Here is a 17,188-nt window from a genome sequence, read left to right on the forward strand (position 1 = left end):
CCCATGCCACCACAGGATGGGACCTCGGGTCTCCAGTTTCCCAGGAAAAGAGACCTATGAACTTTCAGAATTATTTTTAAATCTGAATCCTTAAGCTGAAAACAACCCAACTTCAAAAAAAGACCAAAAAAAAAAAAAAAGGCTCCAGGAAAGCAGCCACACACATGCACCCCACCAGGACACCCCAATCACTTGTTACGGGCATTTCCTGGTCAGGAAACCATGGTCTAAAATAGCTGAACAGAAAGTGCAGGCAGGGAGCCCAGCTCGGCGGCAGCAGAGCCGGTTAAAGGAGGCCAGACAGAGGCCACTGTGAGGTCTGGGGGTGGAAATCCCACGAGCGCGTGGGCGCCACCATTCTTCCAGAGAAAGTACTCACGGGCTTGGTCATACCTTCCAGACCAGGCTACAGACAGTGACTACCAGAGAGCAAAAGCTAACACCCAATACAAGACACAGCCGCCGCCCCGTTCTCCACGCTGGGGCCACAGAGGCCCTGTGCAATTCCTCATTCAATCCCTGCTGGGCTGTGCTCCCAGGGCCCCAAACTGGGCGCTGGAAAGGTGTTCGGGAGGTCAGAAGGCAGGGTGTGGGGAGCACAACAGCAGGAGAGGAAGGGCCCCATGGAGGCCTCCATCCTTCTAGGAGAAACAAGATGCCTTCTGGGAAGCCTGGGCAGTGCCCATCAGACAGCAAGTGCCCAAAAGAGAGACCCTGAAAAGGGGTCAGTGAGGAGAGGATTGACAAGGGGCTGAGCACAGGCTTGGTGACCTGGAGGCTGCTGGAGGAGCTGAAGAGACGCAGAAGGGGCAGCAGGCAGAAGCCACCCATGCGGCAGGGACTGCAAGCCCTCCACCCCTGGGAGGCAGACGCCAAGTCCCTGAGGAAAGTGCCTTTGTTTACCAGGGGCCTTGGGCCAGCCTGAGGGTCTAAATACGTGATTTGTGGCCAGGCGTGGTGGCTCATGCCTATAATCCCAACACTTTAGGAGGCCAAGGCGGGTGGATCACTTGATCCCAGTAGTTCAAGCCCAGCCTGAGCAATATGGTGAAACCCCATCTCTACAAAAAATAAAAAAATTAGCCAGGCGTGGTGGCATGCACCTACAGTCCCAGCTACTCAGGAGGCTGAGGTGGGAGGATCACTTGAGCCCAGGAATTAGAGGTTGTAGTGAGCTATGATAGTGTCACTGCACTCCAACCTGGGCAACACAGTGAGACCCTGTCTCTGAAAAAAAAAAAAAAAGAAAAAATAGAAAAATCAGCAAAGAACATGGACAATTCATAGAAAAGGAAATATACACGGCTCTTAAAAATATGAAAAGATGTGGCCGGGTGCGGTGGCTCATGCCTGTAATCCCAGCACTTTGAGAGGCCGAGGTGGGCGGATAATCTGAGGTCGGGAGTTTGAGACCAGCCTGGCCACCATGGTGAAACCTTGTCTCTACTAAAAAGATATATATATATAAATTAGCCGGGCATGGTGGCACGCACCTGTAATCCCAGCTACTCAGGAGGCTGAGGCAGGAGAATCACTTGAACTGGGAGGCGGAGGTTGCAGTGAGCCGAGATTGCGCTACTGCACTCCAGCCTGGGCGACAGAGCAAGATTCCCTCTCAAAAAAAAAAAAAAAGAAAAGAAAAGAAAAGATGTTCAGCCTCACTCACAGATGTTAAGTTAGAAATAAAATCAGAGGTGGAGGGCGAGGTGCTGTCCAAGCAGCCCTGGACAGGAGTGGGGCCCGTGCAGAGGGACTGTTCCGAGTAGCCCCGGGCAGGAGTGGGGCCTGTCAGCCTAAAGGCAGAGGGGCTCTTCCTAATAGCCCTGGGCAGGAGTGGGGCCTGTGCAGAGGGGCTGTCCCGAGGAGCCGTGGGCAGGAGTGGGGCCCGTGCAGAGGGGCTGTCCCAGAGCATAGCACAGCATTGGTGGTGTTCTTCCCATGGGGTTTGGGTTATCCACTGTGACACCACCTTACACACCTTACACACACACAGGAGCTAAACCAGGGACAGCAGACGATGGGGCCGCATCCTCACTGCAGGAGGGGAGGTTACAATCAGCAAGCGTCGGGGGGGCGAGAGGTGCCACTAGCGGCAGAGACATCAGTAGGACGCACAACACCAATGGTTACTAGGTAGGTTACTATCTATAGACAGTGTGTATATTACACACCAACTGGCGTACACTACATACTTCCTTGCTCTGTTGGCTGAGAAGACCAGAAACAGCCCAGTAGGGACAAGCACACCCAGCTCCCAGACCTTGGTCTCTGAGACCACTCTCCAAGAAAAAGAACCGGGGCTTCTTGAAGAAATGGCTGATTCTAGGACTGGAGGAGGAAATAGACAAGATGAGGCTGGAGCAGTTTATAGGGCCAGAAATAAGGACGTGCTCAGAAGACAAAGTGATGGGCAATGACACAGGGACCCAGGAGCCACCTGAAAGTTCCCAGTGGCCAAAGCTGTGACAATGAGAGCAACAAAATAAGCAAACTAGCATTGAATTATAACTTGAAGTGTAAAATAAATATCCACGAGTCCATTATAATAAATGATTGAAAAAATTAATAAGTGGGGCCAGGTGCAGTGGCTCATGCCTGTAATCCCAGCACTTTGGGAAGCCAAGGCAGGAGGATCACTTGAGGTCAGGAGTTCGAGACCAGCCTGGCCAACATGGTGAAACCCCATCTCTACTGAAATACAAAAATTAGTCAGGTGTGGTGGCACACGCCTGTAGTTCTAGCTACTCAGGAGGCTGAGATAGGAAAATCGCTTGAACCCGGGAGGCGGAGATTGCAGTGAGCCAAGATTATGCCACTGCACTGCAGCCTGGGCGACAGCGTGAGACACTGTCTCAAAAAAAAAAAAAAATTATAAATGAGGGTGAACAGACAAATCTCCTGTGTAGAAGAATTCCAAATAACTTCTATAGATGCTCTTCTCTAAAGGAGGGGGAGCAAAACTCCCCACCCCTTCCATGTGGGCTGAACAAAGCGACTTCCTTCCAGAGAGCACAGGGGATGGGCGACCTCACAGTGGAGAAGCCTGACCCTCCACCTTGGCCAGGGGACCAAGGCCAGCAGCATCACCAGTGAGAGGTCACATGGACAGTGTGGACCCCAGACAGGATGGGGTGAGAAGAGTACTTTACCTCTGTGGCCTTCCTCCTAGAACCCATCCACCACCCAGTCTGATCACGAGAAAAATATCAGGCAAGGGCCAACAGGGGGCCATTCTGTAAAATCCCTGACCAGCTCTCCCCAAAACTCGAAGGTCATCAAAAACAAGGAGAGTCTGAGAAACTCACAGCCCAAACAAGCCTGAGACCCACAGCCCAAAAATCATGTGGGATCCTGGGACAGAAAAGAAAAACTGCAAAAATACAAATCAAGTGTGGACTTTAGTCAGTGATTTACCAATAATGACTTGTTAATTGTACACGTCCCATCATAATGTAAGATATTCAAATAGCAGAGACTGGGTGCGGTACAGGGGAACACCCTGCACTTTCCAATTTTTCTATAAATTTAAAACTATACTAACATAAAAGGTTTATTTTTAAAAATCGTACAGTCACGCCGGAGGCTCACGCCTGTAAGCCCAGCACTTTGGGAGGCCAAGGCGGGCGGATTCACTTGAGGTCAGTAGTTTGAGACCAGCCTGGCCAACATGGTGAAATCCTGTCTCTACTAAAAATACAAAACTTAGCCCGGCATGGTGGCAGGCGCCTGTAATCCCAGCTACTCGGGAGGCTGAGGCAGGAGAATCACTTGAACCCAGGAGACAGAGATTGCGGTGAGGTGAAATCACACCATTGCACTCCAGCCTAGGTGACAGGAGTGAAACTTCATCTCAAAAAAGAAAAAGAAAAAAATAAAATAAAAAGTAAAAAGTAAACTAAAAGGTAGTACAGTCAGATATCTTTTGTTACATATGGATCCTGTAAAGGCCAAAACTGTGCTGCACGTGTGCCAACCAGAGCACGAGGGAGCAGGCCCCGTGGCACCCTGTGATGCGAGTGTGACTTAGGGCAATGATCTTTACGGACAGCAACTTGGCAATGCCTATCAAAAAAAAAAATTTTTTTTGAGACGGAATCTCGCTCTGTCGCCCAGGGTGGAGTGCAGTGGCGCGATCTCGGCTCACTGCAAGTTCCGCCTCCTGGGTTCACGCCATTCTCCTGCCTCAGCCTCCCGAGTAGCCGCGACTACAGGTGCCTGCCACCACGCCCGGCTAATTTTTTTTTTTGTATTTTTAGTAGAGATGGGGTTTCACCGTGTTAGCCAGGATGGTCTCAATCTCCTGGCCTCGTGATCTGCTTGCCTCAACCTCCCAAAGTGCTGGGATTACAGGCATGAGCCACCGCGCCTGGCCAAAAATTTACAATTTAGTTTTAATTTTAATTTTAAAAGATAGAGTCTCACTCTGTTGCCCAGGCTGGAGAGCAGTGGCATGATCATAGCTCACTGCAGCCTCAAACTTTCTGGGTTCAAGCCATCCTCCTGCCCCAGCCTCCCATGTAGCTGGGACTACAGGCATGCACCACCACACTCGGCTAATTTTTTAATTTTTTTGTAGAGACAGGGGTCTCACTATGTTGCCCAGGCTGGTCTCAAACTCCTGGCCTCAAGTGATCCTCCCACCGCAGCCACGCAAAGTGCTGGGATTACAGATATTGGCCACCACTCCCGGCCCCCTTTCAAATTTTTTTATTTATTTAATTTTTTTTGAAATGGAGTCTCGCTGTCACCCAGGCTAGAGTGTGGTGGTGCGATCTTGGCTCACTGCAACCTCCAGCTTCCGGGTTAAATCAGTTCTCCTGCCTTAGCTTCCTGTGTAGCTGGCATTACAGGTGCCTGCCACCACGTCCAGCTATTTTTTCTATTTTTAGTAGAGACGAGGTTTCACCGTGTTGGCCAGGCTGGTCTCGAACTCCTGACCTCAAGCAATCTGCCCACCTCGGCGTCCCAAAGTGCTGGGATTACAGGCACGGGCCACCGCACCTGGCCCCCCTTTCAAAATTTTAAATGGACTTATGCTCTGACCCAGTAGTTATCCTTTAGGATTTATTCTACAGGCGTATTTACATGTATGCAAAATGGCAAAGACACAGGGTATTTGCTGTGCCACTCTTGGTACTATGATAAGGAAAATCCAGAGGAGCACTGGGTGAAGTTCTGGTGCATCATCTGATGAACTATTGTCAGCTGCTACAAAACAATGTAAGGAAAGCGGGAGCAGGGTCAGGTGCAGCGGCCCACACCCGTAATCCCAGCACTTTGGGAGGCCGAGGTGGGAGGATCGCTTCAGCCCAGGAGTTAAGGACCAGCAACCTAGTGAGACCCCTGTCCCTACAAAAAAATTAAAAATTAGTAGGCTGGGTGTGGTGGCTCACACCTGTAATCCCAGCACTTCGGGAGGCTGAGGCAGGAGGATCACCTGAGGTCAAGAGTTCAAGACCAGCCTGACCAACATGGCGAAACCCCGTCGCTACTAAAAATACAAAATTAGCCGGGCATGGTGGTGCATGCCTGTAATCCCAGCTTCTTGGGAGGCAGAGGCAGGAGAATCCCTTGAACCCGGGAGGCAGAGGCTGCAGTGAGCCGAGATCTCACAAATGCACTCCAGCCTGGGCAAAAAGAGCAAAAGTCTGTCTCAAAAGAAAAAAAAAATTAAAAATTAGCTGGGCAGGGTGGTGAGCACCTGTAATCCATGCTACTCAGGATGCTGAGGTAAGAGGATCACTTGTGTCCGGGAGGTGGAGGCTGCAGTAAGCTGTGGTTTCTCCACTGCACTCCAGCCTGGGCAACAGAGCAAGACCCCGTCTTAAAAAGAAAAAGAAAAGAGAATGCAGGAGCCCCACGCAGCTGACGGATACGGCACTTGTTCCAACACATCTCCAGCATCACTGATGCCTGTGTGCCCAGAGTAAGTGTGGGTGCAGGAGAAACAGAACAGTGGCCGCCTAGGAGAGGCCCGCAAGGTCGGGCAGGACAGGCTCACTGCTCAATGAGCCCCCTTTTCCCAAATGGTGGGTGTGAATGGCCTATTCAAAACACATGGTAGGAATTTTGAAATCATCCCCCAAAATGGCACCAGTCATTGCATCAGGGCCATGGGATTATGGGTGCCCTTCATCCTGTCTCCATTTTCCTGGGGTCAGTTTCGCAGCCTCCAAGAGGAAGATAAGGGATGTCAGGGGAGGGATGAAGGGGCTGCCACTCACTGACGGACACCACGGTGGAAAGGCACCACTCATGCTCAGATGGTAAATCAAGTCATGGACTAAAAACCCTAAACTCCACCTGCAAGAAGGAGGCAACATCGCCCAGGGAGGGGCAGGTGGCCCCCATGGCCATGACACATATGCACAGTGATGTCTGTTCCCCAGTGAGCTTGTGCTCTTGGGATTTAAAGACCTCTTTTCTTTAAGGGGAAGGGAACCAGAGTGAATAATGATCTAGGGGGCTAGAGGATCAGGTGGGCACACAGCTGGGGCAAGGAAGAGGGACCCTCTACAGTCTGGCACCGACATCTCTTGAGCCAGAAGACCAGCAGGAACTGCAGTTACATCCTGGATGGGGAATCCCGGGACAGCAGGCCGTGGACGCAGGAAGATCTTTAGAGACAAGGGGTAGAGTGGAAACCCCAGGCCAATGGCCACCGAGAAGGTCTCCGAGCCAGGGGACAGCACCCCACCCCACCCACAAACACCAGGAGGAAGAGAATCACGTGCCGCCTTGTACAGGTGTGAAGCCATGCCTGGCCAAAACAAATGCTCTCCAGGAATCCCGATGAGACTGAGTGGTAGCAGGGCAGGTGGCCGAGAGGATGGGGACCGGGCACAACAGAAACCCCTGAGGTCACGTCACACACTGGCGGGGGTTCCTCTTCCACCAGCAGTTCCCGAGCTCCCACCATGGGCACAACAGAAGGCAGACAGGCATGCAGGGGTGGGGCCGTCTCGGATCGAGCGAGGGCCTCAAAGAATTGAAGTGAACAGCTGGAACATTCCATGAACGAGGGGACTGTTAGCAGTCGCCACTCAACACTGCGGGAGCGGGCAATGGTACCAGCCGAGGAAAGGAGGGATCGATATGAGTAGCGCTCGCTGTGGCTTTGAACCTCTACTCAGCAACAGAACATTTCCCAGCAGAAAGGCTGGGAGTGTGGTTAGGTGCCTGGGTCGGCCGCGGATAGAGCCTGGCCATGCCGCCGAAAGACCATCTACTAGAAAGCCCGGAAACTTTTACAACAGTCTCCACACAACAAGAGAGCTGCAATTTCTTTCTTTCTCCTTCTCCCTCTCCCTCTCCCTCCCCCTCCCCCTCCCTCTTTCTTTCTTTCTTTCTTTTTTTGAGACAGAGTCTTGCTCTTTCGCCCAGGCTGGAGTACAGTGGCATGATCTCGGCTCACTGCAGCCTCCTCCGCCCGGGTTCAAGCAACTCTCCTGTCTCAGCCTCCTGAGTAGCTGGGATTAAGGGTGCGCGCCACCACGCCCGGCTAATTTTTGCATTTTCAGTAGAGGCAGGGTTTCACTATGTTGGCCAGGCTGGTATTGAACTCCTGACCTCAGGTGATCCACCCGCCTCAACCTCCCAAAGTGCTGGGATCACGGGCGTGAGCCACCTCGCCCAGCCCAGATCTGCGATTTCGAGTGCGTCTTCCCCGCCCCATGTGCCATGAACCTAGGGCTTTAGAAACAGCGGGAGGGGCCAAGGCAGGTGGGCGAGGGGGTCAGTGACGCAGGAGCAGGGCTGCGGACAGGAGAGGCAGCAGGCTCAGAGACGGCTCTAGCCCAAGCTGGTTACCCCTCTGCTAAAACAGTGCAGCATATTTTTATTTTCACAGCTTACGTCTGTAAATGCCTAGAGGCGTACCACATCTTTAGACAACCTGCCGGCCACAATGACACATCAGGACATCCCGGGTCCCCGCCCTGCTGGCCCAGGCTTTGGGAACCTGCTTGGTCCAAGGGTCCGCTACTGGCCCGGCTGCCCTTACCCCGGAACTCGGCTAGCCGTCTGGCGGGCCACACCCTGCCCACCTGGGGGTGCTTCTAGGGCAGACACAGGAATAACTTTTTCAAGGAGAAGGGGGAGGTCCAAGCCTTTTATTCACAGTGGAACCCTGGCCTGGGCCTGCCAGGGGTTCCTGTGGGAAGCCTCAACTGCCCTCCAGACCCCTTCTCTCTGCCCTGCTATGTTGCCTGGCACGGACCTCAGGCAGGGAGCCCCAGACCGGCTGCCGCATGGAAGCCAAGGCCCCCAGGCCCTTGCTATTCGGAAGCTCAGGCCAGACTCTGGTCAGGCTCTGCCCCAACCCCCACAGAGCGGCTCGATTCCTCCCTTGCCCCAAAGACTGGGCCTGGCAGACACCAACTCAGGGTGCAGCAGGCCCGGCCTGCCTTTCACAGCCCCCATCTGGGAACCACCCACCCTCCTCCCTACTCCCAGAGGTGGGCAGGAAAGGCAGCTCTCACCCCGAAGCTCCCACGGCTGTCCTGCTGCCCACACACCCACACACCCGTCTAGGTTTCTCCAAGGCCACCAGGAGCTCATCACCCCTCCCCACAGGTCAACCCCATTTCTTTCTTTTTTTTTTTTTTTTGAGATGGCATCTCACTCTGTCGCCAGGCTGGAGTGCAACGGCACGATCTCGGCTCACCGCAACCTCTGCCTCCTGGGTTCGAGCAAATCTCCTGCCTCAGCCTCCCGAGTAGCTAGGATTACAGGCATGCACCACCATGCCCGGCTAATTTTTTTTTGTATCTTTAGTAGAGACGGAGTTTCACCATGTTGGTCAGGCTGGTCTTGAACTGCTGACCTCAGATGACCCGCCTGCCTCGGCCTCCCAAAGTGCTGAGATTACAGGCGTGAGCCACCGAGCCCAGCCAACCCCATTTCCTGAGGATTCAAACAAATCCAAAGGGCGGTGGCACAGGAGGCCTGGGGCTGTTGCTGAAAGAATCCAAGCTCTGGCTTGACTTTCTAGTGATTCAGCACCCACGCCTGTAAGACTCAAGTCCTACCTGCCTCCTGGAACAGCCACGAGGATCCAGCATGTCCAGATGTGAGGCACTTGTTCACCTGTGGAGCTGGACCCAGGGGTCAGATGCCAACTGAACAACAGCCCTCCAGGAGGCAGGGGCCCGGACTCCTAGGCCACAGTACTCACCAGCACCTTCCTCTTCTGCTCGCTGCCTGTGACCACGGAGACAGAGCGGACGATGGGCTTGGTGGTGGCGGCACTGCCAGGACGCCGGGACACAGGCGGAGGGAGACCTGTCAGACTCAGGTCCACACCTGCTGGGCTGCGCTCCGGGACGCTGCCGATGGCCCGGGTGCCTTTCATGGTGGACAAGGCAGGTCCTGAGCGGGGAAGCAAGAGCTGCAATGAGATGCCGTGGGGGAACTACAGTCCCCTGCACCCACCATCTCCAGCCCAGCCTCAGCTGGGTCCACTGGCCACCAAACTTCCTGGGAAGGCCTGTCACAACCTATGCACCCCTCTGGCTGGTGGCAGGCTCCTCGACAGGAACATGAGGGAGCTGTTCTGAGCCCAATGTCAGTGTATGCCAGGGCAGGAGGGCCCTGGATGATGGACAGGTGGGTGGCGAGGGCAAGGCCCGTGGGTGGGAATAAGCCAGCAGCACCCCAGAGGGAGCCTGGGCCACAGGCCATTGTCGATGTGAGCCAGGTTCTGCCATCTACCCCACACCGTGATTCTGAGAAAGTCACTGCCCCGAGCCCCACTGTTTTCTTCTGTAAAAGGGACATTTGATTTATTTTTTATTTTATTATGTTTTTGAAACAGAGTCTCGTTCTTGTCACCCAGGCTGGAGTGCAGTGGCGCGATCTCGGCTCATTGCCACCTCTGCCTCCCGGGTTCAAGCGATTCTCCTGCCTCAGCCTCCTGAGTAGCTGGGATTACAGGTGCCCGCCACCACGCCTGGCTAATTTTTGTATTTTTAGTAGAAGTAGAAACGGGGTTTTGCCATGTTGGCCAGGCTGGTCTCGAACTCCTGACCTCAGGTGATTCGCCTGCCTCGGCCTCCCAAAGTGCTGGGATTACAGGCATGAGCCACCGTACCCGGCCCCTAAGTAAAAATACACATTTTAAAAAGGGGTTGCGTGTTGGCCGGGCACAGTGGCTCACTCCTGTAATCCCAGCACTTTGGGAGACCAAGGCAGGCAGATTGCCTGAGCTCAGGAGTTCAAGACCAGCCTAAGCAACACAGTGAAACCCCACCTCTACTAAAAACTTCAAAAAATTAGCCGGGCGTGGTGGCGAGCGCCTGTAATCCCAACTACTTGGGAGGCTGAAGCAGGGGAATTACTTGAACCTGGTAGGCGGAGTTTACAGTGAGCCAAGATCGTGACACTGCACTCCAGCCTGGGCAACATAGCGAGACTCCATCTCAAAAAAAAAAAAAAAAAAAAAACGCGGGAGTGGTTTTGTGAGGTCCAGACAAGATGCTGGTCTCAAGGCCTCAAGGCTGCACCGGGCAAACACTCCCTGGGTAATGTGTTATTCCAGCAGGGGACGGGGGTTCTGACGATCGATCGAGGGGATTAGCTTGGGGATGCTGGCTTCCTTACTTTGGAACTTCTCAGAGCAAACCCTGCCGGCCCCCAGCCCGTCCCCACATGGCACCTCTTTCTGAACGAGTCTTTCTGATCTTTCTGAACGGGTCTCAGCTCGTGCATGTGCCCCTGCCAAAAACCCTGCAACAGCTTCCTAGGCACAGAGAATAAAGTCTACACATCCAACTCCTGCAAGATCTGGCCCTGTACTCTCTGTGACCTCGCCAGCTCCCCTGCTGTGCCCCTTTGTTGTGGCTTTAGCCAACACAGCCTCCCTGGTTCTCCTCAAACTCAGCCAGCTTGGCCCCGGCCAGTCCCCTGCCTCTAGGTCTCAGGACACTCCCTCCCTGCACTCAGAGGCCTTCCTTGAGCACCCATCACTCTTCACTCCCCATCCGGCTCGGACTCCCTTCCTGTGGCCGCACACAGTTGGTTTATGAATTGTGTGGCTCCTGAGCAACCCCAGCACCTGCAGGGAAAGGCACTCAGCTGAACCCGTAGATGAACGGGAGAAGCTGGCGCCAGGGACCAACCTCGAGAATTACCTCCCTGCCACGGTGGCCTCCAGTAGGCCAGCAGGCACCCAGCCTATCGCCCAAGGTCACCCTGGGCTTCCTTCAGCCCGGCACCCCACAGCAGGTCCCCCAAGGTCCCTTCCACGGAGCGATGGATACCCCTACTCCCTAGAGGCTGACCCTGCCACTGACCAGGTCCCAGTCCTCAGTTATGCACTTCCGGCTGTGCGGAAGAAACTTAACACCCTCCTCCTGCAGGGCACTGTCCACCCCTGGCTGGACCCATGCAAGCCCTTGGAGCCCAGGACTCTGCTCTCCCAGCCACACTTGCAAGCGGCTCTGGGATGGCGAACGGGGCCTCTCCATGGAAACCTCCAAGCCAGAAGAAGGGAGGCCTGGGAGGCCACTACATCTTGGATAAAACTGTGTCCCTCCCAGGACCTGAAGGGGCGGGGACTGATGACCAGCGCCAGGACCTGGTTCCCAGGGTGGGCTGACCCTGACCCTGACCCTGACCCTGGACAGAGAGGCCAGAGCCCACGCGCAGAGCAGAGCCCTCCACTTGTCCTCAGGGCAGCTCCCATCTCCCCATTTTCCCCAGGGCTTAAGGCAGCCGGGCCAGAGATGCCGGGACTGGACTCCATGTTGTCCTGGGGACCGGAGGGGAGTGGAGGGAGGTGGAGAGGGTGGAGGGGATGGAGGTGGGGACCCACACCCTCAGGCACGAGCCTGTCTTCACCTGCGCGGGCCCCGGACCTCCCTCACCTGTGCGCACCCTGGATCCCCCTCACTTCCCCCGGATCCCGCCTTCAATTGCGCGGGCACCAGATCCCCCCACTCACCTGTGCGTGCCCCGGATCCCCATCACTTCATCACTGGACCAGGGCCTCCCACCTGCGCGGGCTCCGGACCCCTCCAACCTCCGTGCGCCCTGCAACCCCCTCCCTTGCCCGGGCCCCCCTCACCTGCGCGGGCCGGGGGCGCAGCCGCGAAGCCTGCCTGGCGCGCGGGGCCTGCAGATTCGGCCGGCGGGGAGGGGATGCGGAACCAGTCGCGCCCAAACCTCGGGTCGGCGACCTGGCGCCCCGCCACCCCCAACACTGCCCCGAGGCCCGGTGACAATGAAGCGGCCGGACGGCCGGGGTGAGCAGCGGCGGCAGCTAGCAACCAGCCTGGCACCACCTCCCCAGCCCGTCACGCCGGCCCGCCTTTCCTGCGCGCGCCGACTCCGGATTGGCCCTTCACGCTCCCGCTCAGGCCGTCCCGGGAGCTCATTGGGCCGCTCGGCTGTCCTTCGGGAAGTTCAAGCGTGGGAGGAGCGGCGGATGGCTGAGGGACGCGACTACAGAGAGCGGCCGATTGGACGCGGCTGGAAAGGGGCGGGTCATATAGGGGGCGGGGGACCGAGGGCGGCGGGAGGAGCTGGCCGGGCAGGGGCGGGGCCCCAGCGGTTGTGGGCGGGGCGTGAGGTGGGGGTGTGATGGGCGAGTAGGGCGAGGCAGATGTGGGCGGGGCAAGGCAGGTGTGGGCGGGGCACGCAGGGCCTGGGGAGGAGACACCAGGGAGGGCGCGAGGAGCACGCGGCCTCGGCTCGGCTCCCCGACACCCCCAGGCCGCCGCACTCCCGCGGCCCGGGGCTCCCCCAGTGTCCTAGGCCGCTCTGTCCCCACCCACGTGCGCGACTCCCCTCGTTACTCAGTACGACTGCGAGGGCGTGTGGGCGCCTTGCTAACCTCCCTGACCTCCTTCCCTTCGCGCTGCTTTGTTGTTTTTTTTCCTTCTCCAAAGTTTTAACGCTGCGCCCCGTGCGTAGCCGCTCTGTGACTCCCCCTCTCTCCGGGAGCCCTGGGGATTCCGCCCAGGTCCTCTCCAGGGAAGCCATCCTTCCCCTAAAAGTCACAGCACACTGGTCTCCCCTGCCCCCGCTTTTTAAAAAGTCCAGTGCTCTGTAAAATAAAAAGTTTGGTTTCAGTAAAATCCACATTTTTTGGTGTGCAGTGGAGTTGTGTAACTTTAGTTACAGAACATTCTCCCTCCGGATCCCGTACCTGCTGACTGCTGGTGGCGGCTGCTCAGTTCTCTCTGTTCTCCATCCCTAGAGGCAGCCTTTTCCAGAATGTCACACAAAAGGGATGTCGCGCAGCGCGCCTGTGGGTCTGGCTTCTACCACTTCGCATTTTGAGATTCATGCTGGTTCCTCTTTATTGCTGAGTGGTATCCTGTAACCGGTGTGAACCACCGGTTCAGATGGTTTTATTTATTGATGGTTTTATTCATCAAATGAAGGACGCAGAGATTGTTCCTGGTGCTTGGCAATTATGAATGACGCTGCCATAAACATTCACTCATCGGCTTCTGTGTGGACACAACTTTTCATTTCTCTTGTGTAAATACCCAGGAGTGGGGTTGCTGGATCAAATGATTGTTTATAAGAAACTGCCGGCCGGGCGCAGTGGGTCCCACCTGTAATTCCAGAACTTTGGGACACTGAGGTGGGCGGATCACCTGAGGTCAGGAGTTCGAGATCACCCTGGCCAACATGGCAAAACCCCGTCTCTAGTAAAAATACAAAAAAATTACCCGTGCCTGGTGGCGTCTGCCTATAATCCCAGCTACTCAGGAGGCTGAGTCAGGAGAATCGCTTGACCCCAGGAGGCAGAGATTGCGGTGAGCGGAGATCACCACTGCACTCCAGCCTGAGCGACAGAGCAAGACTCCATCTCAAAAAAAAGAAAAAGAAAAAAAAAAGGAAACCGCCAAGCTATTTTCTTTTTCTTTTTTTTCCTTTTTTTTCCGAGATGGAGTCTCCCTCTGTCGCCCAGGCTGGAGTGCAATGGCATGATCTTGGCTCACTGCAAACTCCACTTCCTGGGCTCAAGCAATTCTCCTGCCTCAGCCTCCCGAGTAGCTGGTATTACAGGCACATGTCACCATGCCAGGCTAATTTTTGTATTTTTAGTAGAGACAGGGTTTTGTCATATTGGCCAGGCTGGTCTTGAACTGCTGACTTCAGGTGATCCACCCACCTCGGTCTCCCAAAGTGCTGGGATTACAGGCGTGGGCCACCACATCGGCCTACTAAGCTATTTTCCAAAGAAGTTGTACAGCTCTACGCTCCCACCAGTGCCACAGGTGTTGCAGTTGCTCCCCATCCTCCTCAGCTCTTGGTATTGTCAGGGATTGGTTTTATTTGTTTACTTATTTATTTATTTATTTATTATTATTTTTTTGAAACAGAGTCTCGCATTTTTGCCCAGGCTGGAGCATAGTGGCGCGATCTCAGCTCACTGCAAGCTCCGCCTCCCGGGTTCACGCCATTCTTCTGCCTCAGCCTCCCGAGTAGCTGGGACTACAGGTGCCCGCCACCACGCCTGGCTAATTTTTTTGTATTTTCAGTAGAGACGGGGTTTCACCGTGTTAGCCAGGATGGTCTCGATCTCCTGACCTCGTGATCCGCCCGCCTTGGCCTCCCAAAGTGCTGGGATTACAGGCGTGAGCCACCGCGCCCGGCCTACCACATTGTCTTGATTAGTGTTTTTGTTGTTGTTGTTGTTGCAGAGATGGGGTCTCACATGTTGCCCAGGCTAGTCTCAAATTCCTAGGCTCAAGCAATTCTCCCACCTTCACCTCCCAAAGTGCTGGGATTACAGGCATGAGCCACTGCACCTGGCCTAGAGTCAATCCTGAAATCAGGTTTTGAGTCCTTTGTTCTTCTTTCTCCAAATTACCTAGGCTATCCAAATTCTTTTGACTTTTCCTATAAATTTGAGTTTCAGCTTGTCACTATCTTAAAAAATATCCAGCTGTGATTTTGATGGGGATTACATTAAATCTGTAGACCTGTAACCTGGAAGAATTGACACCAGAATTTATGAACATGGTATATCTCTCCACTTATTTAGATCTTCATTGATTTCTTTCATCAGTACTTTGAAGTTTTCAGCATACACATCCTACATATATCTTTCTAATTTATACCTAATCATTTCATTTTTGGAGTGCCATTACAGATGGTAGTTTTTTATGGTTTAATTTCCAATTGTTTATTGCTATTACAAAAGTGTAACTGATGTTAGTATATTTACCCTGGAGCCTGTGTCTTTGCTAAACTCACTTCTTAGTCTTAGGAAGTTTTTGGTAGATTTCACGGGATTTTCTACAATCCTGTTTTCTGTGAATAGTATGTTTTATTTCTTCCTTTCTAATGTGTCTGGCTTTCTAGTTTTTTCTTGCTTTATCGAACTGGCCAGGGCTTCAGTGTAATGCTGAACAGAAATGGTTAGCATGCACACCATGGCCTTCTTTCCAATCATAGGGGAAAAGCATTCAGTCCTTCAGCATTAAGTATGATGTCAGCTGAGGGGTTTTTGCAGAAACCCCTTGCCACCCAAAAGATCTCTTACATTTCTAATTTGTCAAATTTGGGAGGGTTTTTGGGTCATGAGTGAATGTTGAATTTGTTTCTTGTTTTTTCTGCATAAAATGATCATGTGATTTTTCTTTACTGTTAATATGATGGATTGAATTACACTGATTTTCATAGGTTGAAACAGCCTTGCATTCCTGGGATATATTCCACTTATAGTGATGTATTACACTTTTTATATATTACTGGATTCATTTTGTTGTTTTCTTGAGGAATTTTGCATCTATATTCCAGAAGGATATTGATCTCTAGTTTTCTAGACCAAGTGTACATGGAACATCCACCAAGATAAACTATATTCTTGGCCATAAAACAAACTTTAACAAAAGTTTGAAATCCTTAACAAAAGTGTGAGGCCAGGCACAGCAGCTCATGCCTGTCATCCTAATACTTTGGGAGATTGAGGTGGGAGAATTGCATGAGGCCAGGAGTTGGAGACCAGCGTGGGCAACATAGCAAGAGCTCCATCTCTACCAAAGAAAAAAAAGGCCATGTGTGGTGACTGAGGCATGAGGATTGCTTAGGACTGCTTGAACTCAGGAGGTTGAGACTGCAGTGAGCTGTGATTGCACCACTGCACTAGGTGACAGAGCTAGAGTGCAGTGGCACAATCATGGCTCACTGCAGCCTTGACCTCTGGAGTTCAAGCAATCCTCCCGCCTCAGCCACCTGGGTAGCTGCGACCATGCCTGGCTAATTTAAATTTTTTTTTTTTTTTTTTTTGTAGAAACGGGGTCTTGCTATGTTGCCTAGGCTTGAAATCTTTAAACAATATAACAGAAATCATATAAAATATGTTCTCTGACTATATCAGAATTAAATCATAACACAATATGCTTTAAAATAACCCATTGGACAAAACGGAAGTCTCAAGATAAATTTGAAAATATTTTGAGCTGAATAACAATTTAAATGTACCAAAATTCATAGGATGCAGCCAAAGCAGTGTTCACAGGAATGTTTATAGCATTACAAGGCTCACATTAGAAAATAAAGGACATGATAAATAATCTAAGCTTCCACCTTAAGAAACTGAAAAAGGCTGGGCGCTGTGGCTCATGTTTGTAATCCCAGTGCTTTGGGAGGCCGAGGAGGGTGGATCACAAGGTCAGGAGATCGAGACCATCCTGGCTAACATGGTGAAACCCAATCTCTACCAAAATACAAAACATTAGCCGGGCATGGTGGCATGAGCCTGTAATCAATCCCAGCTACTCGGGAGGCTGAGGCAGGGGAATCGCTTGAACCCGGGAGGCAGAGGTTGCACTGAGCCCAGATTGCGCCACTGCACTCCAGCCTGGGTGACAGAGTGAGACTCTGTCTCAAAAAAAAAAAAAAAAAAAAAAAAAGAAACTGAAAAAATAAAAATAAGCCCAAAGCAGAAGAAAGGAAATAATAAAGAACAGAAATTAGTGAACTAGGAAACTGAAAAACAGAAATTAGTGAAGTACAAAAAAAAAACACCAAAGTTTGTTCTTTGAAGTAACTAATAACATTAATAAACTGTCTGACCAAGAAAAAGGGAAAACAAGTGACCAATATTAGGCATGAAAGGAAGAGTGTGATAGTGTGACTACAGCCCCACAGGCATGACAGGAAGAGTGATAGTGTGACTACAGCCCCACAGGCATGACAGGAAGAGTGATAGTGTGACTACAGCCCC

At 52.8% G+C, this 17,188-nt stretch overlaps 1 protein-coding gene across 20 annotated transcripts in view, besides 6 other annotated features; it reads right to left on the bottom strand.

Moving 5' to 3' along the window:
- CEP131 (centrosomal protein 131) overlaps nt 1-12,261 on the bottom strand; it is a 33,370-nt gene extending 21,109 nt beyond the window's left edge. For 17 of the 20 annotated variants that reach the window (XM_047435665.1, NM_001009811.4, XM_047435662.1 and 14 more), the window contains exons 1-2: nt 12,065-12,261; nt 9,176-9,369 (exon numbers count right to left, since the gene is read on the bottom strand). In XM_047435665.1, the coding sequence (XP_047291621.1) occupies nt 9,176-9,352 (177 nt within the window). In that variant the 5' untranslated portion in view covers nt 9,353-9,369; nt 12,065-12,261. Of the gene's footprint in view, nt 1-9,175; nt 9,370-11,941 lie in introns of all 20 variants that reach the window. The other 3 variants (XM_047435664.1, XM_047435657.1, XM_047435656.1) reach the window with 1 other exon arrangement.
- Nucleotides 10,622-11,292: an enhancer, noted in NCBI's record as "H3K4me1 hESC enhancer chr17:79195126-79195796 (GRCh37/hg19 assembly coordinates)". NCBI's record gives its function as "activates a minimal SCP1, AML or CMV promoter by ChIP-STARR-seq in primed H9 embryonic stem cells {active_cell/tissue: H9 hESC(primed)}" and the evidence as "EXISTENCE:reporter gene assay evidence [ECO:0000049][PMID:30033119]".
- Nucleotides 11,293-11,962: an enhancer, noted in NCBI's record as "H3K27ac-H3K4me1 hESC enhancer chr17:79195797-79196466 (GRCh37/hg19 assembly coordinates)". NCBI's record gives its function as "activates a minimal SCP1, AML or CMV promoter by ChIP-STARR-seq in naive H9 embryonic stem cells {active_cell/tissue: H9 hESC(naive)}" and the evidence as "EXISTENCE:reporter gene assay evidence [ECO:0000049][PMID:30033119]".
- Nucleotides 11,963-12,632: an enhancer, noted in NCBI's record as "H3K27ac-H3K4me1 hESC enhancer chr17:79196467-79197136 (GRCh37/hg19 assembly coordinates)". NCBI's record gives its function as "activates a minimal SCP1, AML or CMV promoter by ChIP-STARR-seq in naive H9 embryonic stem cells {active_cell/tissue: H9 hESC(naive)}" and the evidence as "EXISTENCE:reporter gene assay evidence [ECO:0000049][PMID:30033119]".
- Nucleotides 11,963-12,853: a biological region, named in NCBI's record as "H3K27ac-H3K4me1 hESC enhancer GRCh37_chr17:79196467-79197136".
- Nucleotides 11,994-12,323: a silencer, noted in NCBI's record as "silent region_9118". NCBI's record gives its function as "represses an Ori minimal core promoter by ATAC-STARR-seq in GM12878 lymphoblastoid cells {active_cell/tissue: GM12878}" and the evidence as "EXISTENCE:reporter gene assay evidence [ECO:0000049][PMID:35858748]".
- Nucleotides 12,484-12,853: a silencer, noted in NCBI's record as "silent region_9119". NCBI's record gives its function as "represses an Ori minimal core promoter by ATAC-STARR-seq in GM12878 lymphoblastoid cells {active_cell/tissue: GM12878}" and the evidence as "EXISTENCE:reporter gene assay evidence [ECO:0000049][PMID:35858748]".

Source organism: Homo sapiens, chromosome 17 (genome assembly GCF_000001405.40).
Source record: "Homo sapiens chromosome 17, GRCh38.p14 Primary Assembly".
NCBI lineage: Eukaryota > Metazoa > Chordata > Mammalia > Primates > Hominidae > Homo > Homo sapiens.